The sequence below is a fragment of the Homo sapiens genome, chromosome 16, assembly GCF_000001405.40.
Source record: "Homo sapiens chromosome 16, GRCh38.p14 Primary Assembly".
Lineage (NCBI taxonomy): Eukaryota > Metazoa > Chordata > Mammalia > Primates > Hominidae > Homo > Homo sapiens.
Window position 1 is genome coordinate 87576144 of NC_000016.10, and position 24181 is coordinate 87600324.

Consider the following 24181-nt stretch of genomic DNA (forward strand, 5'->3'; position numbering starts at 1 on the left):
GGTTTGGAGGGGCGGGAGACGGAAATCCTGTCCCCCAGATCGAATCATGCTGTTACCAGAATGGGCTTGGTATTTTTTTCCAGCGAGTGTCTTGGTTTGTGTGAGGACAGACGATGGTGTCACGCCCACGCTGGGTATGACAGGGGAGAGAAGTCCGCAGGGGGAGCCGGGGGACTGCCCGCTTCCTCGAAGCCTGGACTCATAAGGAGGCGTTCCCTGGTATCAACGAGCCTCTCCGAGCAACCGCCTGCCCACAGCCGGCAGGAATCAGTCCTGGCCAATGAGTGCATGAATTTCCCTGGGCTGCCATAACAAACGCCACAGCCGGGGGCTTAAGCTACAAGAATCATTCTCTCACTCTGGAGGCCAGAAGGCTGTGATCAAGGCATGGGCAAGGCTGGTTCCTTCCCAGGCCAGTGAGGGGGCACCTGGTCCAGGCCGCGCTCCTCGGCTTGTAGCCGGCACCTTTCCTCTCTGTTTCTTCACATCTTCTCTCAGGGCATGTCTGTGTCCAAATTTCCCCTTTTTATAAACACTCTGGTCATATGGGATTACAGGCCACCCTAATGACCTCATTTTAATTTGATCACCTCCCTGTCGCCAAATAAAGTCACATTCAGAGTTACAGGGGGTTATGACCAAATAAAGTCACGTTCAGAGGTACAGGGGTTATGACTTGGGGGAGTTCATATGATAGCTTCCCCCATGTCAGGGAGTGGACAGCAGGCTGGTCGGGTGCATGACGGAGCTGGGTGCAGAAAGCTTTGGTGGGGGTGACCCAGACAGCAGGTGCGAGCGACAGTGTGGGCGATGGTGGCCCCCACCCTCATGACCGCAGGACCCCATCTCTTTTTTTTTTGAGATGGAGTCTTGCTCTGTCACCCAGACTGGAGTGTAGTGGTGTGATCTCGGCTCACTGCAACCTCCACCTCCCGGGTTCAAGTGATTCTCCTGCCTCAGCCTCCTGAGTAGCTGGGATTACAGGCAGGCGCCACCACTCCTGGCTAATTTTTGTGTTTTTAGTAGAGACGGGGTTTCACCATGTTGGCCAGGCTGGTTTTGAACTCCTAACCTCAAGTGATCTGCCTGCCTCAGCCTCCTTGGGATCCTCTGCCTCCCGCAAAGTGCTGGGATTACAGGCGTAAGCCACCACGCCCAGCCTCTTTCTCCAATCGCAACCTTCTGGACTCGGTGTCACCATGGGCATCTATGGGGCAGGCAGCCTGTGGGGGTGAACACAGTGATTCATGCTGCCTACCCCAATATGCCAACAGCGCCCTGGGAGGAATGGCTGGTGTTGCAGTTGAACCCCTGCAAGGCAGCCACTAGCATCTCGTGTTCCCTGGGTAACAGCAGGTACCCTCTCCCACTCATCCACTGGGGGGTCTCGAGGCCTACCAGCTGAATGGGGGCTTACCCCTCCCACCCCTCAGTGAGGCACAGACTGCAACTGAACGAACCTGTCCTCCACACCCTGGCACCAGCCACCCCTCCTCAGCTTTTAAAATACTTTAAAAAGCAGTTATCAAGAAATACTGATCAGGCCGGGTGCAGTGGCCCACACCTGTAATCCCAGCACTTTGGCAGGCCAAGGTGAGAGGATCACTTGAACCCAGGAGTTTGAGGCCAGTCTGGGCAACATGGAGAGACTTCATCTCTAAAAATAAAAAATTTAAAAAAATTAGCTGGAATTATATATTTAAAAATGTGCTCCCAGCTACTCAAGAGGCTGAGGCAGGATGGTTCCAGCCCAGGAGGTTTCAGTGAGCTGTGATTATGCCACTGCACTCCAGCCTGGGCAACAGTAAGACCTTGTCTCAAAAATAGGCCGGGCGCGGTGGCTGACGCCTGTAATCCCACCACTTTGGGAGGCCAAGACAGGTGGATCACTTAAGGTCAGGAGTTTGAGACCAGCCTGGCCAACATGGTGAAACCACATCTCTACCAAAAATATTTTTTAAATTAGCCAAGCATGGTGGCACGCGCCTGTGATCCCAGCTACTCAGGAGGCTGAGGCAGGAGAAACACTTGAACCCGGGAGGTGGAGGTTGCAGTGAGCCGAGATGGTGCCACTGCACTCCAGCCTGGGTGACGGAGTGAGACTCCGTCTCAAAAAAATAAAATAAATAAGTACATGAATCACACTAATCAGAATTTCTTGTGTTCCACATTTCACAGATGTTTTTACACAGAGCTCTCAGAAGCCCTGTGAGGAAGTCCCTGTAGGGAGAATGCTCAGAGATGGGAAGTCGCTGCCCAAGGCCACACAGCTGAGACCTAAACCCTGGATATCTCCAGGGCTGTCCCGTTGATATCTTTCTTTTTTTTTTCTAATTATACTTTAAGTTCTAGGGTACTTGTGCACAACGTGCAGGTTTGTTACATATGTATACATGTGCCATGTTGGTGTGCTGCACCCATTAACTCGTCATTTACATTAGGTATATCTCCTAATGCTTTCCCTCCCCCCTCCCCCCGATATCTTTCAATAACATATACACAGAGACAGCTGTCAGTGGGGACACTGCCTGGACGCCGCCCGAACACTGCCTGGATAGAGGACAGCTAGTTTGGCATTCGCTTCAGAACCATCTCGGGGAGGTAGAATGGGAGTATGGAGGAGAGAAGATGGCTCCCAGGTGGAAGCTGGTAATGAGGCCCAGGTGGGCACCCCAGGTGGCACCCTAGGTGAGCACACGGGGTTCATTACACTCTGCCTTCTTAGATAGATGCGTGTTTGTCATTTTCCATAGTAAATGGTTTTTGTTTTTTCAATGATCTTGAGTAAGTATATGAGATAGCGTTAAATATAAGGCAAGGCTTCCCTCCACTCCCAAAACAGATCCCTTTCAACAGCGGGTGTGGCAGATGTGGTGGAGCTAACGCAAGAACACAAGACTGGCCATGGAGGAGAACGGCTTGAACCCGGAAGGCGGTGTTTGCAGTGAGCTGAGATGGTGCCATCGCACCCCAGCCTGGGCGACAAGAGGGAAACGTCGTCTCAGAAAAAAAAAAAAAGGACTGGCCATGTATTGATCATTACGGAAGTTCAGTGGTGGGTACATGGGTGTTTTTGTTTGTTTGTTTTTTGTTTTTGTTTTTGTTTTTTGAGATGGAGTCTTGCTCTGTTGCCCAGGCTGGAGTACAATGGCACCATCTCAGCTCACTGCAACCTCCACCTCCCGGGTTCAAGTGATTCTCCTGCGTCAGCCTCCCGAGTTGCTGGGATTACGGGTGCGCACCACCACACTGGGCTAATTTTTGAATTTTTAGTAGAGACGGGGTTTCACCCTCTTGGCCGGGCTGGTCTCGAACTCCCGACCTCAGGCGATCTGCCCACCTCAGCCTCCCAAAGTGCTGGAATTACAGGCGTGAGCCACCGCGCCCAGCCATGGGTGTTTATTATACTACTGACCCTACCCTTTTATGGGCTTGCAAATCTCCAAAATAAAAATGAAATAATCATAAAAACAAACTATATCAGTTTAAAAAGAAAGTCATCTAACAATTGAGTCTTTACAGGTTGGTCTTTTAATGATTTCACTTTGCACAACCAAGTATTGTTTGGGGAAGACACCTTGTTCTGAAACAACCTCAAATGAGGCTCTACTAAGAAATTCTGAGAGGAGAAACGGAGGGAAGCAATTACAAAGGAGGCAAAAACAAAACAAAACAACAACAAAAAACCACCCCACAGATTCAGCAGCTCTTCCTGGGGGAGGACCTCCCACTATAGATGTTGACATGAATAAGCCTTTTAAACATGTCTTTAAAAAGAAACACTGGGCCAGGCACGGTGGCTCACCCCTGTAATCCCAGCACTTTGGGAGGCTTAGGCAGGAAGATCACTTGATCCCTGGTGTTTGAGACCAGCCTGAGCAACATAGCAAGACCTTCTCTTTACAAAAAGTAAAAATTAAATTAGCTGGGCATGGTGGTGGGCGGCGGTAGTCATAGCTACTCAGGAGACTGAGGCAAGAGAATCACTTGAGCCCAGGAGGTCGAGGCTACAGGGAACCATGATTGCACCACTGCCTCCAGCCTGGGTGACAGAGTGAGACCCTGTCTTCGAAAAAAAAAAAAAAAGAAAGAAAGGAAGGAAAAAAAGAAAGAAAAGAAAAAAAAGAAACAGTGGTCGTGAGGAGCAGAACTCAAGCCTACAAGTCAAAAAGCAGGGGTGTTGGGGGGGGGGCGCGTGCGGCAGGAGCGGAATAAAACCTGTCATATTTTTTTTTTTCCAGAGACAAAGTCTCGCTCTGTCGCCCAGGCTGGAGTGCAGTGGTGTGATCTTGGCTCACTGCAACCTCTGCCTCCCGGGTTCAAGAGATCCTCCCACCTCAGCCTCCCATGTAGCTGGGACTACAGGTGCATGCCACCACGCCCAGCTAATTTTTATATTTTTTATAGAAACGAGGTTTCACCATGTTGGCCAGGCTGGTCTCAAAATCCCGAGCGCAAGTGATCTGCCCACCTTGGCCTCCCAAAGTGCTGGGATTACAGGTGTGAGCCCCGTGCCTGGCAGAGAGTTGTGTCTTGATAAAATGGCCCTCAACAGTGCCCCGAGTGGATTAAAATCTCAAAGAACTCAGAAGTGAAAAGAAGATGATGTGCTTTGGAAAACAGAATTAGAAGACTCAAGAAGTGGTTCTTGAAGATAACGGCACCAATGTTGATGACACAGGTGATGGATGTGAGTAAAGGGACCCGAATGTGAAGTGGAAGAAGCATGTCTTCTAAATTAATGCATTGCATGAGGGTGAGTCAACTGTTGCACCGTCAACCCAGACATTTACGAGAGGTGGCGCCATGGGTTTCTTCTTCACACAAGTTCTAGTTGGGTGTGTGTGGGTGGTCTTCCACATGGTGACTCAGGGCCCAGGCCCTTTCATTGTGGTGGATTCACCATCACCCAGGCTCCAGTGTCTGGGGAGGATTCCTGGCATCCAGCCAGAAGATGGGGAAGGCTGGGTGTGAGGAGTTTCCAAGGCCAGGCATGGAAGCGGTGCCCACCATTATGTCCCAATCTCATTGGACAGACTCTGTCATGTGACTGTCCTGACTGCAACAGAGGCTGGGAAATGGAGACAACCTGTACTGTCAGGAGTAAGAGGAAGCAATTTGATGAACAACTGGCTAGTCTCTACCCCACACCCTGTCTTATCTCACTTTTGATTTCAAAATGCATTTCTAATTTAATCAATGAATTATATTTTATAAGCACTCATGTGACTTTTCCATCCACAATCAAAACATTTACATCTTGAAGATGGATAAAAAACATTTTAGAGGATCCAGTTGGACATTGCCCTGTGTTTACGGTTCCCTTGTATGTAAGGCACAATTGTTAGTTCTTGGTTTGGAAAGATGTTTGCATTAGATTCAGTGAAAAAAGCAAGTTAAAGAGCTCACACCTACAGAGGTTCTACTGTCGCCCACACAACAACAACTCAGGAGGTGAGTGGCTTGGCTGGAGAGTTCAGCGTGGGACCCCCACAGCGTGGCTTCAGCATTTATTGCCTCCTGTGACCACACGGGAGGTAGAAGATGATTTTATTTTTCTGTGAAAAAAAATGTGTATATGCATGGAAAAATGTGTATAAGCAAACACCCCAAAATATTAATAGTGACGATTCCTTGAGAATAGAAAGGGGGAAAATTTTAGCAAAATATTAGTAAACATTTTATTTGCCCATACATACGGAAAAGTGCACAAATTGCGAACGTCCAGCTTGATGAATTTTCACAATTCCCATGTATAATCAGCACCCGATTAAGGCATAGAACATTCTAGACCTCCTTCCAGGCCCTCCCTCCTCTCCCAAGGGTGGCCAGCCCAGCTCCAAATGCCCCAGGCTAGTTTCCAAGGTTGTGGCCTCTGAGTCATCATAAACAGAGCCTCCCAGGGTCTGGCCTCTTGCACACAGACTTGTGCTGTGAGAGTCATCCTTGCTGTGTGTGCGCGAAGCTGTTCATTTCCTTGCTGTATAGTGGAGCAGAGGCGATCTCAGCTTTCCGGTATGATGATTTATATTTCTCATTAATCTTCAAAATTTTCAAAAATCAAATGGAGGAAAAAAACAAGTTGATTTTCCAACAACAAAAACCCAGCGCTGTCCTGGGACCTCTGGTCCAGGAAAAGCTGCAAAACATACCATTTCTGGCCTCGGCCAGCCTGTCTGTCTGTCAGCAGCGTCACCGCAGGCGGCTCCTCTTGGGTCCCATGATCCAACTCCAGCAGGCAGATGAGGCCTGGAGCCAGGCGGGCGGCAGCCCAGCTCCAGCTAAATATACGTGTGGGAGGCTCCTCCCGGCCTGTGGGTCCCTCCTGGCCCTTTTCTTTCCCACTAAAGCTGGAGGTTCGGGAGAACAAAGGCAGCTCCCCTGAAAGAGCCAAGGCCAGGCGGGAGGTGCCCTGGAGAGCGGCCGAGCCCGAGAGCCGGGGCAGGGCTGCCTCAGACCAGAGAGCCGGCCCTGCCAGCCATCGGCCGTCGAAGAAGGCGTGCAGCTTACGCAGACCTCGGGTGATTTTGGAGCAAAGCTCCCAGCACTTAGCTGAAACGGAAAGGCCTCTGCAGCCTGGAGGACATATGGGGTTCCCCCTCCCCTCCGAGGCCAGGCTGCGGGCAGGCGTTCTGGAGCCTCCAGGTCTCCCACACCACCCACGCCCCGTGAGCTTGCAGGAGCTGCCTGTCTCCTGGAGTGCTTCCTCCTGACTGTGCCATGAGCACACGCGCTAGATACACGCTGGCCTTCTTGCCTTCCTAGCATGGGAAGGAGCTAGAACCAAGGGAAAGATGGGCCAGAGCGTCCCTCTGCCGTGTGGCTCAGGGGAAACAGCTCTGCTCACATCTCCAGGATCTGCCTTGGAGGCTCAGGAGGAGGTGGGTGCAGAGCCAGCCAGAGGGCTTTGCATCCCAGCCCCACTGGCCACCACCTGTGTGGTCATAGGAAAACCATTTTGCCTCTAGAGTCTCAGTTCCCTCATCTGTAAAATGGGGATGACTGTAGGACCCGAATTATAGTGTTGTGAGAATTAAGTGGGTTAAAAAAATAAAACTCTTAGAACAATATTGGGCTCATGATAAGCACTTGATATTATTAGGTGTGCAAACTCACACATGCACACATACACTAATACATACACACACACACATTCATGCATGTACACACGTACCAGTACACACATACACATACATACACAGCCATGCACACAGGGACAATTCACATATATATACGTATATACACATGCAAGCATACATATATCTATACATATGTACATTACACATGTATACACACACATGCATACAGAGACACACTATGACACACACACACACACACGCACATGTGAGTCACCTAAAATCTGGACCAGGGCCACGTGCAGCCCTAGAGAAGGAGAAATCTCGCCGTGCCTGGCGCAGTGGCCTTGGGAAGGTCTCCTACTTGTTATTCATTCTCCTTCTAAATTATTATTCATTCTTACTAATGACAAAGCGGTTCCTCTCTTGGGTCAGAGGCTGGCCCTGCTGTCTTAGATTGGATTCCCTGGGGAGCCAGTTCCCTGGGAGCTGGGATCTGAGTAGAAAGAGTCTGTCGGGAGGGGATCCAAGAAGCACAGTGGGAGAGTGGGGGCGCAGTGGGGAAGGGAAGGAGCCAGCCGAGATGTGGCAGTAAGCAGCTGGGGCTCTGTCCTGCTGCAGTGTGGGGGCAGGGGGCAGTCGCAGGACAAACCGCAAACCTTGACTCCCGTTTGTTGTTGGACGAGGGCTGCTCCTGGGGCGAAAAATCCCAGCACTTCCAGCCTACCGTGTGCCCCGGACTCTGGCGTGACCCTCGCTCCTAGATTCATGGGCTCTCTGGCGACATCTCTGCACACCTGTTGGCCACACGTGGTCCTCTATTCACACATGAGCAGATACTCAGTGCAGGCGTTCACGTGCCAGGCCAGGGTTCAGGGGAGCGAGGCACACATCCCTGCCTGCAGGAGGCTTACCCCCTTCATCCAGAAGGTTCCACAAAGCCAAGTAGAATGGGAAAGTGTGGGGGGGGGGATGTGAAGGAGGTGGACAAAGGCCAGACAGCAGTGAGCTCTGAGGGATGGGTAAGAATTGGGTGTGGGGGGTGGTTCCTCAAAAGTATATGGAGAATCATCCTATGACCTAGCAATTCTGCTTCTAGGTGTCTACTCAAGAGAATTCAAACAGGCGCTCAGACAGATACCTGCGCACCCGCGTTCACAGCAGCATTACCCACAACAGCCAGAGGCTGGACACTACCAAGGGTCTGTTATGGTTGAAGAGATAAACACAGTGTGTATACAGTGGGGTGTTATTCAGCCACGGAAAGGAAAGAAGCTCTGAGTCACACCGCAACATGCCCTGGAAACTGTGATCCAATCATAAAATATGATAACATATTGTGATTCCATTTATGTGAAATGTCTGCAATAGGCAAATCCATAAACACATAAAGTTCATGAGTGATCGCCAGGGGCTTGGGGCAGGGGTCAGGAGGGGAAGGGGGAGTGGCTGCTAACGGGGACGGGGTGTTTTGGGGTGATGTTTTGGGGTGATGGGAATGCTCTGGTGCCAGATGGACGGTGCTGCTGGTTGCAACAACTCTGTGAACGTACCAAATGCCACTGTACCGTTCAGGTTAAAATAGGCAGGGCATGGTGGCGCGTGCCTGTAGTCCCAGCTACTCGGGAGGCCAAGGCAGGAGGATCACTCGAGCCCAGGAGGTCGGGAGCTGCAGTGAGCTGTGATCACACTGCACTCCAGCCTGGGCAACAGAGTGAGATGTCATCTCTAAAATTAAAAAATAAAACCAAATAAGTAAAATAAAATGGTTAAAATGACACATTTTGTTATGTGAATTTTGCCTAAATAGAGTTAGCAGGGAGCAGGGGGGATTCCAGGCTGAGGGATCAGCATCACTAGGGCCCAGGGGACAGAGGCGCTGCTCAGCGTGGTACCCAAGGCAGCAGCAAGGCCTTGTACAGAAAGCGAGGGGATGGGTGCAAGAGGGAGCCTCCTGGCCAGTCCCCGAGCTTGCCTGGACCATGACCTGAGAGCAGGAGGGGGTGCAAGAGGGAGCTTCCTGGACAATCCCCGAGCTCGCCTGCACCGTGACCTGAGATCTGGCACGCCCTAGGCACTGGCTGCTTCATCTCCTGGGATCTCTGTCATCTGGAGGTAGGTAGATGACTGATCCCACTTCACAGATGAGGGGAGTGAGGCCTGAGGCTCAGGGAGAAGGGTGGGGTGGGCAGGGATGGGAAACCCAGGTCTGTCTGACTCCCAAGCCCCTCAGCACTGGCGGGGAGTCCCAAACCCCTCCTGTGGCGAAGGCTGCTGGGTTTGGTGTCAGCAAGTTAGACTCAGGAAGAAAGCTCCACTGAGGGCTGGCTTCCTGCAAACCGGGGCTGGCTCTGTGCGGATTCTAGAGTCAAGGCAGCGAGGGAATTGGCAGAGGATGGGGGAGAGAGGGCAGCTGGCCCGGGAGAGAGAGGGAAATTGCGAGAGGGAGGCGCTCACTATCCCCACATCCCTGTGCACATGGACATGCTGGGGGTCGGTCCTGGCACGGGCACAGCTCAGCACACTGTGACGGGGTCCACGTTGGTGGCTGTGGCCTCAGGCCCAGGGTGTGTGTTGTCACATGCCCTCTGAGGCCAGGACAGGATGGGGAAGAGACGTCTAGAGGCTGTGGGTGGTAGAACCTGCTGGGCCCAAGTTCATCTGTGTCCCCTCGCCTGGCCTCCTTGTGCTGAACGCGTGCATCTGTTATTGGCTGATGCCTAACATACCCCCAGCCTCGGGGGCTTAAGACAACACACGTTTATCATCTCATGGTTTTTGTGGGTTGGGAATGTGGGGCTGCCTGGCTGAGTAGTGCTGGCCCAGGGATCTCACGTGGTCAGAGTCAAGGCAGTGGCCGGGGCCGGGGTCACGGGGCTCCAAATGGGGCTGCGGGACCCACTTCCATGTCGTCGGCCAGCCTCAGGCCCTTGCTGGCTGCTTGCGGGAAGCGTCTGTTTCTTGCTACCTGAGACTCCGTAGGGTAGATCACAGCGCGACAGCAGCTTCCCACAGAGAGCGAGAGAGGCTGAGACACTAAGGCAGAGGCCACGGTCTTTTTGTAACCTCATCTCGGAAGCGACATTGCTCCATGTCTGCCGTAATCTCTTGTTAGAGATGAATGACTAAGTCCAGCCCGCACTCAGGGGCGGGAGAATTAAGCTCTCCGTCTTGAGAAGCAGAGTGCCCAGGAATTTGCGGACCTATCTTTAAAACCAGCACCAGGGGTGCGCTCAGCCAGGGATTTGTAGTTTCACCCAGGCTCTGTGAGCTGCTGTGTAAACTTTGGCCTATGACGTGGCAAGAATGGGAAATTTGGGGTCTGCAGCCTTGTGTGCGTGTTCCAGTCTTGCCACTTCCTGGCTGAGCAGTCTTGTGCTCTTCCTGTAAAAACAAGGACCGTAAGGGAAAAGTGGAAACAACCTGTCTGCCAGGAGGAAGGAGGATGGGGCGTGAGCTGTGGCGTAGCTGCGGGTGGAGGAGCGTCCCGTGCCACATTTCGGGTGAACAATGAGAGCTACCTGAGTCAATGTTGATCAACCAAAAATGTTACATCAGCCGGGCATGGTGGCTCACACCTATAATCCCAGCACTTTGGGAGGCTGAGGCGGGTGGATGGCTTGAGGTCAGGAGTTTGAGACCAGCCTGACCAACGTGGTGAAACCCTGTCTCTGCTAAAAATACAAAAACTAGCCGGGCATGGTGGCAGGTGCCTGTAATTCCAGCTACTCAGGAGGCTGAGGCAGGAGAATCGCTTGAACCTGGGAGGCAGAGGTTGTAGTGACTGAGATCATGCAGCTGCACTCCAGCCCGGGTTACAAAGCAAGAGTCTGTCTCAAAACAAAAACAAAAGAAAACAAACCAAAACGTGATATCGAGTGGAAAAAAGCCAGTTGTTAAAGGATTTGACAGCGTGATGCCCTTTACGCGAATCCCGTGTGCCGCGTGGTTTCCGGGTGTTGGCATAGCAGCAATGGTAGCAAAACTGCGTGAGAGGCACGCAAAGCTTCAGGGAGGAGTGACCTCTGTGGCGGGGGAAGGGGCGCAGGGCGGGTGGGGGAGAGCTGCAACTCTAACTTTCATCTCCTTAAAGAACACTCCAAAGCAAATATGGAAAAGATGAACATTTGTAAAATCTGGGGGGTGGTACAAGGGTGTCTGGTACATGCTGAACTGTTCATAGCTGGAAATCGTGAGTGTATTTTGACAGGCTCACTGCTGTGAGGATGCTGTAGGGAGAGGCCTGGGTTGAACACCCCCATGTTGATGGGGATGCTGGTGTGCCAGGGCTCACGGGGCCTGTCACACTCCCTCAGTGACACACGTGTGAACACATATGTGTTCACTGCCCCTTGCTCTCTGCCCCAGACCCCAGCAAGCTGATAAGAAGGCCCAGGTGTCCCCACTAGACCTGGTGCTAGCACGAGCTTCAGACCTTCCCATGTGTGGGGAAGCCCTCACCCACCCGGCACGCCGACCACAACGCAGCCCCCAGTGGGTCTCTTTCTTTTGCTCCTGTGGCCATTTTTGGCCTGGCTTGGGAAGCCAGCCTCCTCTCCCGGAGAGCCTCCTTCTGGAAGGGCAGGGCCAGGTGGGTCAGGCCTCCATCAGCTAGCACTGGCGCCCTTATCTCTTGGGCTCAGCCTCAGCTCAGCCCCAGCCCCTGGGTGAACCCTCTCCTCGCTGAGAGCTTGCAGTCTGGCCTCCCTCTTCCCACCCCCATCCACGGCTCTCCACTAGGACTGCCCTTCAAGGCCTTGGTGGTAAGAACTGCCCCTGACTGCAGGAGGCAGATGCTCATGGGTGGGTGGGGGACCCTTTCTCCTGGGCCAGCTAATCAGTCCTCACAGGTATGTGGCTCTGGGCATGCACAGCAGCCCTAAAACATTGGGGGGAGCAAACTGTGAATCTGCAGAGCTTCGTCAGCGGCTTGCCTCAGCTGTCACCAGGCAAAGGGGCCCAGAGCACCCTTACACTTGGTGGCATCTTAGGTTCCATGGAGTGTATGGCAAAGGCCATCTGCAATTGTGTGACGACAATTGCGCACAGGCCTGCCAGCGTCACGCGTCCTGTGCATGCGGTAGTTACAAAAACTACCCTGAAGGTTTGCTGGGAGGGTTCACATCGGACCATGTGAAATTGCCCTTTAAGAGATGTAAAACAGCCAAATGCTGACAATTTCATATGGTTCATTTGAAAAGTAAAACAAACTAGGCCGAGCGCAGTGGCTCACGCCTGTAATCCCAACACTTTGGGAGGCTGAGGCAGGCAGATCACGAGGTCAGGAGATCGAGACCATCCTGGCTAACACAGTGAAACCCCGTCTCTACTAAAAATACAAAAAAATTAGCCAGGCATGGTGGCGGGCGCCTGTAGTCCCAGCTACTCAGGAGGCTGAGGCAGGAGAATGGCGTGAACCCGGGAGGTGGAGCTTGCAGTGAGCTGAGATTGCGCCACTGCACTCCAGCCTGGGCAACAGAGCGAGACTCCATCTCAAAAAAAAAAAAAGAAAAAGAAAAAAGAAAAGAAAAGTAAAACAAACTAAATCTTTTGCAGTCTCCCCCACAACATCCATCTGGATAAGAAGTTGGGTTATTACTCCCCCCAAGCCCGGGGAGTGCACGGGCATTTGCAACCTTTTGCGGGTGGAATCGCACACACGGGAATTTCCATGGAGAGAAGGTGGCGGCAGCGCTGCATGGTCGCTGCCGTCCAGACGGGGTCTCCCTTGGTCCGCGATCCTCTCTGGGCCTGCTCGCCAGGCGGCCTCAGGAACGGAGGCCCACAGGCTGTGAAGCTGCAGGAGAGCTTTCCAGCCCCACTGCGAAGGGCTCCGGCCTTTTCCAGTGCCTCCGGCCAGGCCTTTCACTGCCTGGTCTCCATACGGAGAGCGGGTGGCTCTGATCCTCCCTGGGGCCGATCAGCTTGGCAGGAATCGGCTGCATCAACAGCCTGGCTGGACTGGTGGCTGATGGCAGAGATTCAGGTACCACGGAGAAGGCAGGAGCCCTGCCCAGACGCAGGCAGCGTCCCAAGAATGGGCTTCTCCAGCCTGATGACCACATGTCAAGCCTGGCGGTGAACACACTGCCCTGGGCTGTCATCTGCCTCCAGCTTCCTGCAAGAGGAGTGGTAGGGGGAGACGTGTATACCTGGGGCCCTGGCCATTCAGAGTGTGGGCCCCAGACCAGCAGCATCAGCACCACCATAGAAATGCAGAGTCTTGGGCCCCTCACAGACTTCCTGGACCAGAACCTTCATTCGAACAAGAGTCCAGGGGACTCTGATGCATGTGGGCAGGTGGGGCAGCCTGGCACACACAGAACCACTGGGCAGCAGACAGAGAGTCTGCAAAGCGCACGTGCTCTGCTGTTCCACATTTTGGGATTTATCGGAAGGAAGCAGACACACACACACACACACACACACACACACACACACACGGAAACATCTGGAAGAGTGACTCCGTGCTCACCGCAGATGTCACGGCACCCTGGCCATGCTGGAGGCTCCCGTTTCCTCTTCTCAGCAACCCTGGGAGGCGGCTGCTCTGACAGGGAAGAAACTGAGGCTCTGGGGCCCTAAGGAGCCTCCGGCTGCCCAGCCAGAATGAGGTGGCATTAGGAGTTTAATTCAGACAGCCAGCTTCTAGACCGCTTGTCCCCACCACCCTCCTCAGCAGCCTCCATGTGCACACGGTCCCTGCAATGGCGTTATTTACAATTGTGAGGCAGTGGGGCAATCCCAGCTCCAGCACCGGGGCTGCCTAGGAGCGTAGGGCCTGTCTACGCGACTGGTGTCCTGGTCTCTACTTTGTGGCATGAGTGCCACCTTCCCTTGTAATACGTTCATGTTCTCTTTACCCAACTCTCCAGGAAACACACAGAGCTTCCAGGCCAGTGGCTCTGCCATTCCCACCTCTTGAGGCTTCTGTTCCCTTTCCTGGGGGTGCCTCCGAAGTGGGATTGTGTGGACGCAGCGCAGTCGTGCTTAGCCCTGGTCGTGCCTCCCGAGCGGGGCTATGTGGATGCAGTGGAGTCACGCTCGGTCCTTAGTCCTGGTACACAGTTGTGCATGGACAGGAGGGACTGCTGCTGTTAACAGGGACAGTCACTTACATTCACAATGTGCACACAACCTAATTCTGTGCAGAGAGGAGGGGGTGATTTCTTCTTCCCATTTGACAGGTGACAACTCAGGCTCAGAAAGGCTGTGTGACTTGCCCAAGACCACACAGTTAGCAAAGGGCAGAGTCAGGACTGAACACAAATCTTCAGAGCTCACTTCGGGCTTCCGGAAGTTCTTTAGTTCTTATTCAGTTAGGAGATTCTGAAACTGACGTGACTGCTTGCCAGCCAGACCCAGCCTTCACGTCAGAAGCAACTACACTCGCCACTGGCCAAATGAACGCACTGAGCTTCTACAGTGGTGTCACGCGCCAGCCACACAGGTGAAGTCTGCGTCGTTTTATTCTTAATTGCATTCCCGGCCCTGACCTCATGTTTCTTGGATGAATACTGAGTGAGCTGTTGAATGTTCAGGGTGGAGGGTCTGGTATGGGGGCAGCAAGGGTGGGTGGGGCGGGGGTCGGAGCATAAAGAAGAGCCTTGATCCCACCCAGCTCCCCACCTGGCGAAGGGCAGAGACTCACTCCTGCTAGCCCAAGGCAAGACATGTTCTTGGATAAGGTGGAGCCCACAGAAGCCGTCATGGGGTGGGAGAGTTACTGAGGCTTAAGGGAGCTCCACGGTCTTTGGACCCCAAAGGGGTGGGGTTCCACTTGAGCTCTCATTCTGTGACCTCCCCCTCAACCATGTCTTCCACTCCCCGATGGCCATCCTGGGACCAGCCCTTCCTCCGGGAAGCCCTCGGATGTCCCATCGGCTCTGGCGACAGTGTGGGGCAGGAGTGAGTGTCTCAGAGCCGGGTCTATCCTGGTCTGTCCACACTCCTGAGTCACCGTCTCCAAGAACAGGTCATGGGGGTGGGATGACACTGATGTCTTGGTTCCAACACATGCCCTATCCTCAGGGCACAAGACTCTCATTTGAGAGGCAGGGCTGCCACATCTGAAATGGCGGCAGCCAGCATCACACGCTGTATTCCCTGTCCTCACAGGGCCGTGAGGGCACGGAGCAGAGGAGGATGGATGCGGGTGAGCGTCCTCACAAAGAAGGTGAGTGTATCACACAGGCTCCTGCAGCCACAACATCCAAAGAAGGAGCTAAAAAAAGAGAAAGATTTTAGATTGGGCTTCATTGAAATTAAAAATTTGTGCTGCAAAGGATACCATGAAGAAAGTGAAAAGACAACTCACGGAATGGAAGAAAATATTTGCAAATTACACATCTGATAAGATACTTGTATCCAGAATGTATAAAGAACTATAACTCAGGCCAGGCGCGGTGGCTCATGCCTGTAATCCCAGCACTTTGGGAGGCTGAGATGGGCGGATCACGAGGTCAGGAGATCAAGACCATCCTGGCTAACACCGTGAAACCCTGTCTCTACTAAATATACAAAAAATTAGCCAGGTGAGGTGGTGGGCGCCTGTAGTCCCAGCTACCCGGGAGGCTGAGGCAGGAGAATGGGGTGAACCCAGGAGCTTGCAGTGAGCCGAGATGGCGCCAATGCACTCCGGCCTGGGCAACAGAATGAGGCTCCGTCTCAAAAAAAAAAAAAAAAAGAACACCTATAACTCAGTAATAAAAGTGCAAATTTTAAAATGGGCAAAGCATCTACCAATAACTTGGAGCAAAATAAAATAAAATAGGCAAGGGATCTGAACAGGTAATTCTCCAAAGAGGACATATAGATGGCCAACAAGCGCTTGGAAAGATGCTCAGCACCTCTCATCATCAGGGAGTGCAAATCGCAACCTGACTGGATGCCCCAACACCAGTGAGGACGCTGGACACCCCCACATCAGCGAGGACGCTGGATGCCCCCACACCGGCAAGGATGCTGAATGCTCCCACACTGGCGAGAACGCTGGATGGACGCCCTCACACCGGCAAGGATGCTGGACGCCCTCACACTGGTGAGGACACTGGATGGACGCCCTCACACCGGTGAGGAGACTGGATGGACACCCTCACACCGGCAAGGATGCTGGACAGACGCCCCTTCACCAGCGAGGATGCTGTCATCAGAGAGACAGACAAAAAGAAGTGTCAAAGAAGATGTGGAGAAACTGGAACCCCTGTATGCTGCTGGTGGGAAGGAAGGATGATGCAGCCCCAGTGGAAACAGTTTGGCAGCTCCTTAAAAGGTAAAATACGCAGTTACCATATGACCTGGCAGTTTTACTTTTCGGTATATACCCAAGAAAATTGAAAACGTGTGTCACCCAAACACTTGTACGTGCATGTTCATCATAGCCCCAAACTGGAAACACCCCACATTTCATCCACTGATGAATGGATGAACAAAGTGTGCTCCAGCCACACAGTGGAAGATTAACTGGACAGAAATGGGACGAAAGCACCAATGCACACTGCAACACGGAGGAACCTCAAAAACAGCACGCTGAGTGAAGGAAGCCAACACAGAAGATCACATATCACAGAATTATATTCACAGGAAATCTCTGGAACTAAGAAATCCAGGGAAACAGGAAACAGGTGAGTGGCTGCCAGGGGCTGAGGGCACTGTGGGGGAAGGGGGAGGGAGGGACGGCTAATGAGTATGGGCTTGCCCTCTTTCTTTCTTTCCTTCCTTCCTTCCTTCCTTCCTTCCTCTCCCTCTCTTCCTTTCTTCCCCCCCTCCCCTCCCCTTCCCTCCCCTCCTCCCTCTCCTCTCCTCTTTCCTTTCCCCTTTCCTGTCCTGTCCTTTCCCTTCCTTTTTTGAGATAGGGTCTCACTCTGTCGCCCAGGCTGGAGTGCGGTGGTGCCATCACAGCTCACTGCAGCCTTGACCTCCTGGGCTCAGGTGATTCTTCCACCTCAGCCTCCCGAGTAGCTGGGACCACAGGCACGCGCCACCACGCCCGGCTAATTTTTTGTTTTTGGTAGAAACAGGGTTTCACCATGTTGGCCAGGCTGGTCTCTAACTCCTGGGCTCAAGGGATCTGCCTGCCTCAGCCTCCCAAAGTGTTGGGATTACAGGCGTGAGCCACTGCACCTGGCAGGGTATGGGGTTTCTTTCTGGGGTAGTAAAAAGGTAAAATGACGTTGTGGTGATAGTTTACAACTTGATGAATCACTGAAAACATTGAACTGTACACTTCAAACAGGCGGACTGTGTGGAATGTAAATTATATCTCAATAAATGTTTTTTAAAAGTTTTTCATTTTCAGCCAGGCGTGGTGGCTCACACCTGTAATCCCAGCACTTTGGGAGGCCGAGGCAGGCAGATCACCTGAGGTTGGGAGTTTGAGACCGGCCTGACCAACATGGAGAAACCCCGTCTCTACTAAAAATACAAAATCAGCTGGGTGTGGTGGCGCGTGCCTGTAATCCCAGCTACTCAGGAGGCTGAGGCAGGAGAATCGCTTGAACCTGGGAGGCGGAAGTTGTGGTGAGCCAAGCTTGCGCCACTGCACTCCAGCCTGGGCAACAAGAGCGAAACTGCGCCTCAAAAAAAAAAAAGGTTTTTCATTTTCAAATGCTAGAAAATCCAACTCAAAGTGATTTAGGCCAAAAGGGAATTTGTTGGTGCCTATTCCTTGGTAAATGGGTCAGTTCAGAGGTATTTTGGCTTCAGGTACTGCTGGATCCAGGGTCTGAAACAGGTTGTCAGCGCCCAGGCCAAGCCCATCCCACACAAAGGCTGAGTTTACGGAGACACCTGAGTGCTTTTGCCCCAGTAAAGGGGAGTGGCCCCTGGGCAACCCAAGCCCCCTGCAGGCTGCGCTGGCACAGGGGAGGAGGAGGCGAGGCCCTCCCGGCCCATCCAGGCAGAAGGCAAGATTGGGGAAGTTCTGGGAGAGAAAGGGAGCTGTCCTCAGTCCCTTGTTATTCTCAGCTGCTCTGTGATCCCAAGAAAATTCTTCACCACCATATTCATTCATTTGGTCACCCACACACATTTATTGAGTACCTAGTGTATACAGACACTTACTGCCCCGGGGAGAGAACATGAACACAGGAGACCTGGTCCCTGCTTGAAGCATTCAGTGACAAGCACTGATGATGACACAAACCCGGCCACAGGGGTGCCGATACAAATGGCCCGAGAGGTGATGGGAGCACAGGGCAGGAGCACCCATCCTGGCCTTGGGTGGGGTGGGGGGCCGGGCAGGCTTCCCGGAGAAGGAGAGACATGAATGAATAGACCAGGCAGAGGGAACAGAGTATGTACGGGCAGAAGCTAGCTCAAGCAGGTGGGATATGGGAACTGGAGCATGGGGTGACAACAGGGAGGCAGGAGGGCTCGGCAGACAGCAGCTCTGGAGAGCCTTGGGATCCATGTGAAGGAGACCGGGCGTTATCCTGAGGCCAGTGAGCACTGATGAAAACCTGCCTTGAAGGGACAGGTGGGAACTCGCCTGTGCTGGCCTGCACGCTGCAGGAAGCTGGTCTACACTGGCCAGGGCTCCAGTGCACTGTGATGACTTTTGGGTTCATCTCCCCAATTTCTGAGCCTTTCCACCCTGGCTTTGACTTTTGGGTGCACCCACCCTCCTGGAGTAGCTCAGCCCCTTCCCAAAGCCTTGCCCAGACTCTGCAACTGTCGTTGCCTTCCTGGATGAAGCAGCAGATTCACGAACCTCTTCCGGCTGCCCACACTGCTCAGTGGCCTTCCACAGGGATGGACGGATTCACGGTAGGTAAGTGACCTTCCAGGGGGAGTCACATCCACGGTAGGTAAGATAAAGGCTTGAGGAAACCACTGGCAGCCTCATTCTAATGAAGTTTAATCATACCTGTTAGCCCTGGGAGCCACCAAGGAGGAGGGAAGACATAAAAGCAATCCATCTGGGGAAGCGTTTCTTTGGATGTCTTTTTCTTTTTTCTTTTCTTTCTTTCTTTCTTTCTTTTTTTTTTAATTGTGGAGATGGAGTCTCACTCTGTCGTCTAGGCTGGAGTGCAGAGGTGCCATCTCAGCTCACTATAACCTCTGCCTCCTGAGTTCAAGCGACTCTCATGCCTCAGCCTCCTGAGTAGCTGGGACTACAAGTCCGTGCCACCATGCCTGGCTAATTTTTGTATTTTTAATAGAGACGGGGTTTCACCATGTTGGCCAGGCTGGTCTCAAACTCCTGACCTCAGGTGATTCACCCGCCTCAGCCTCCCAAAATGCTGGGATTACAGGTGCGAGCCACCGCGCCCGGTCTGGATGTCTTTATGTGTTTGGCATCATCTGCTGAGCAGGAAGGGGTGAGTGGGACCTCTGTAACTCTCTCTACAGCCGTCCCCAAGTGCCATGTTGGCAATATCAGCTCATGTCAAACAAGGTCAAAACATAGATCAGAGAAATAGCCACAGCTGAGTGTCTTAAAAGCACTTTCAGACGGCACCCTTCACTTTATGTGACAAGCATTGATTCAACAAATGTTCAGAGGAGGCTGACTTCCCAGTCATGTATTTGTTTGTTCATTTATCATTCACTCAAAAATGTAACGATTGCATCCCTACTGTGTGACGGACATTGTGCCAGGTGCTGAGGAGGAGAAGAGAGAAGGAGAGAGAAGAAGAGAAATCTGGCAGCACCCCCCTCTCCCCACTTGAGTGGACGAGACCATGAGTTAGAAGATAGTTACATGGCAGAGCAGTATATGCTATAATGGGGGTGCACAGGGTGCGGACAGAGCTCAGAGACACCTAAAGTGTCTCCAGGGGATCCCTGGAGAGGGTGTTTATGGTGAAGGCTGAGAGCCAATGAGTGTTCTGCGGTAAAGAGATGTGTGCACACATTCCAGAATACACAGACAAGAAAGTGAAAGTTTTTTGTTTTGTTTTGGTTTTTTTTTGAGACAGAGTCTCACTCTGTTGCCCAGGCTGGAGTGCAGTGTGCGATCTAGGCTCACTGCAAGCTCTGCCTCCTGGATTCACACCATTCTCCTGCCTCAGCCTCCTGAGTAGCTGGGACTACAGGTGCCCGCCACCACACCCGGCTAATTTTTTGTATTATGGGTTTAGTAGAGACGGGGGTTTCACCATGTTAGCCAGAATGGTCTCGATCTCCTGACCTCGTGATCTGCTCGCCTCGGCCTCCCAAAGTGTTGGGATTACAGGCGTGAGCCACTGCGCCTGGCCAAAAGCAGTTGTTTTTAATAAAAACAGCCACAAACCATAAGGAACTCTTATGTCTACCTACACTAGAAGGGCTCAGTCATATTGGAGATATTCATAGGATGGAATATTATACAGCAAAGAGAACAAATGAACCTAAGGAACCCAGCCACATGGGTGAATCTCAAGCATGATGTTGGGCAGAAAAGAATGCATTTGGTATGATTCCAGTCCCACGAAGCTCAAAAACAGGAAAAACTAGGCCACAGTGCTTAAGATGCACATAGACAGGTGGTAACATTATAAAGAAAAGCAAAGTTGATGAAAAATTCAGGTGAATGGCTCTGTCTGGAGGGAGGAGAAGGTTATGATTGGAGAGGGACACACAGTGGGTTTTGGGGGTTCCAATAATGTCTAATTCCTTGACCTGGGTGGTCATTATCTGGGCATTTACTATTTAAGTATTCATTAAATTATACAAATATGTGGATTGGCCACAGATAACTCATTTTTTCCCAGCGAGGGGACATTTACACACTTGAGACAGAAGAGTGTGGTGGCTGCAAGCCTGTGCTGTGCTGTCAACTGCTTCTTCACTTCCACCTTAGATAAGTGAGTTGGCCTTTATGAGCTTCAGATTTCCTCATCTGTAAAATGAGGATAATAATACTACCAGCCTCATAAAGTTGCTTTAGGATTAAATATGATATGATAATGTAGGTTCAGCACAGAGCCAGGCACATACATGTAACAATTATCACTATCATTATCACTACCATCATCACCATTCTCATAATCCTCATCATCATCACTGTCATCACCATCATCACTACCATCATCATCACTATCACCATCATCATCACCACCATCACCATCATTATAATCATTATAATCATCACCATCATCACCACCAACACCATCATCACCATCACTATCATCACCACCATCACCACCATTACCATCATCACTATCATCATTACCATTATCACCATCATCACCATCACTATCATCACCACCATCACCATTACCACCATCACATCACCATCATCACCATCATCACCACCACCATCACCATCATTATAATCATCACCACCATCGCCACCATCATTACCATCATCACCATCACCACCATTACATCACCATCACTGTCATCATTACCATCATCACCATCATCATCATCACCATAACCATCATCATCATCACCATAACCATCATCACCACCGTCATCATCACTATCATCACAATCACCATCACCACCATCGCCACCGCCATCGCCATCACCATCATCACTAACATTATCACCATCCTCATCACCATCGCCATCATCACCATCACCATCATCACCATCATCACCACCATCACCATCACTATCATCATCATTACCATTATTACCATCATCACCATCACCACCATCATCAAATCATCACTAACACCATCATCACCATCACCAACACCATCATCACCACCATCATCACCATCACCGCCATCATCCCCATCATCATCACTAACACATCATCATCTTCACTATCCTTTATATCATCATCACCATCACAAAGTTTATTTTTCCTTCTTGCTAATCCATCCAAATTACTTCTGCTTTATCCCCCTCTTCTTCCTTCCTCCCACCTCTCTTTTCATAATTATCTTCATCTGGAAATTGAATGACCAGTAACAGTGCTATCTGGAGTCATGGATAGTTCTAGATCTTAGTAAGTAAGGAAGTAAAATCATGCTCAACATTTTTTCAAAGCTCTTCCATTCTCAATGTTAAATCATGTCTTATCGACAGACCCCATATCCCAATTTTTGGCTCAGTTTGCTTCCTCTACTTGTACTAGAAATGCTGATCATATCTTTCTGCCATCACAAGGGAGGACCCTGGACCCCACTACTTGACCACAGCTAATCGAGTCAGAAAGAGACACCTGACCCAGGCTGAATGTCTCTCCTAAGACTCAGGAATCAGGATCTCCAGAGTCCAGGTTAGTGACTGTTAGGATGGGAAGAGCAGATTGCAGCAGAGAAAGCTGGTCTATGGAGGGCAGAAACATAAGGCAGGCTGGCTGAGAGCAGAGATGTAGGGCCCAGTAAAAGAGAGAGGCTTGGGTCGTGGCACAGTGGGAAGGTGGCCATCTGCAAGCTGGGCAGAGAACTCTCACCAGGGACTGAATCAGCCAGAAACTTGATCTTGGACTTTTAGCCTCAAAAACAATAAGACATTTCTGTTGTTGAAGTCACCCAGTCTGCGGTATTTTGTTATGACGGCCCTTGAAGACTAATACACAGGCAGACAGTGCTAGAAAGCTCACTGCATCACTGTAACTGCAGAAAACAAAACAAAGCCAACCGCCCTAAATGTCCCTCATTGACAGTGGGTGTATGAGGAGGTGACTGTCCTCCTGGCTGCTGGTACTCTGGGGAGGCGGCTTTGGTGCTCAAGCCAAGAGATTGAGGTTGAACTCTGGGACTCCCAGGAGGGGCTGATTTTCCTGAGAGCCCCGTGAGCAAAAAGTGGTAAACGTTTTCTGTAAAGAACAAGATGGTAAATATTTTAGGCTTTGTAGGCTATATGGTGTCTGTCACAACGACTCCACTCTTATGTTGCAGTGTAAAAGCCACTCTAGACACACAAATGAATGGCCATGGTTGTGCTTCAGTGAAATTCTGTTTATGAAAATAGGCAGTGGACTAGATTTGGCCTCTGGGTTATGGTTTGTGTGATGCCTGGCTTAAAACAACAATCTTCTTTTTTTTTTTTTTTTTTTTCAGAAAATTGAAATTCTGACAAGATGTGATGGGGAACGCTTGTCTCAGCTGCATGTGGCTTTAGCTGGGGTGACCTGCCTGGGGTCTGGAGGGTCTACTTTCAAGATGGTACACTTTTATGGCTGTCAAATGCTGCTGGCTGCTGGCTGGGAGTCTGGCTGGAGCTGTGGGTTGGAGGACCCTGTATCTCTCCTTGTTGGCACGTCCAGGGGCTGCTTGAGCTTCCTTACATCATGGCAACTTGGTTCCAAGCTTGAGCACCCCAAGAGCATGAGGCAGAAGCTGTGTTGCTGTTTATGAACTGACCTTTGAAGTCACATCCTGTCACTTCTGTGATAATCACACACTGGCCCAGATTCAGGGGAAGGGAATGCAGAGCCCACCTCTCAACAGAGACCTAGAAACGCCCAAATGGCAGTCCCACTTTGCTCCCCCAAAGCACTCCCTCAACAGGAGGGGTGTCAACACCACACTGGAAGAAGATCACGTGGAATGGGGGATCTTGTGGACATTTCACAGTGTTATGGTAAACACAGGCAAAGACAAGAAGGCAAGCACAGATAAGTTGATCGTGGCTCAGTTCTTTGAAGGAGATTAATAGGCTTTTGTGGGGATGCAGGGGGAGCTTTCTTTCTGCACTAGTCAGGAAGCCTCTCTGGAGCTGAGACCAGAAAGCTCTACTGTCATGGGAAGAGGCACCAGGCAAAAGAGACAGCAAGGACCCATGCCTGGAGGCCAGAAAGGGTGCAGGCTGGAAGGCCAGGCAGACTTGGGCTCGAATCCTGCCCAGTCATTATTTTCCCTCTGGCAAGGCACTTTACGTTGGTGGGGAAAAGTGATTCTTTTAAAAAGGAGAGTGTAATTCCAAATCACCTGAGTCCATGAGATGACTAATGTGCTGTCTTCATCCTAGTGCCTGGCTCACATGTGGGTTACAGCTTTTTTACCCTTCTCCCTGGTTTTTGTTTTTAAACGGCTGGGTGGTACTACGTTTATAGGCTTGGAGAGTTTCCTCCAAAGTGAAATCAATACTGCCAGCCCTACTTTATCGGGAGGGCGGTGATTTCCAAATTGCACAGAACAAATGCCTGTAATATCTGCATTTCAGAGACTAGAGCCTGTCACCGCTGGAGTAACTGACTGCAGGAGATGAGAGAGGGTCAG

General features: G+C 51.4%; 1 long non-coding RNA gene across 1 annotated transcript, besides 1 other annotated feature; it reads left to right on the plus strand.

The window, feature by feature from the left end:
- Positions 86-740: an enhancer, noted in NCBI's record as "H3K4me1 hESC enhancer chr16:87609835-87610489 (GRCh37/hg19 assembly coordinates)". NCBI's record gives its function as "activates a minimal SCP1, AML or CMV promoter by ChIP-STARR-seq in naive H9 embryonic stem cells {active_cell/tissue: H9 hESC(naive)}" and the evidence as "EXISTENCE:reporter gene assay evidence [ECO:0000049][PMID:30033119]".
- LOC124903749 (uncharacterized) lies at positions 5841-8854 on the plus strand. Its single transcript, XR_007065171.1, has 2 exons — positions 5841-6015; positions 8176-8854. It is a non-coding gene; the product is annotated as an uncharacterized LOC124903749 (long non-coding RNA).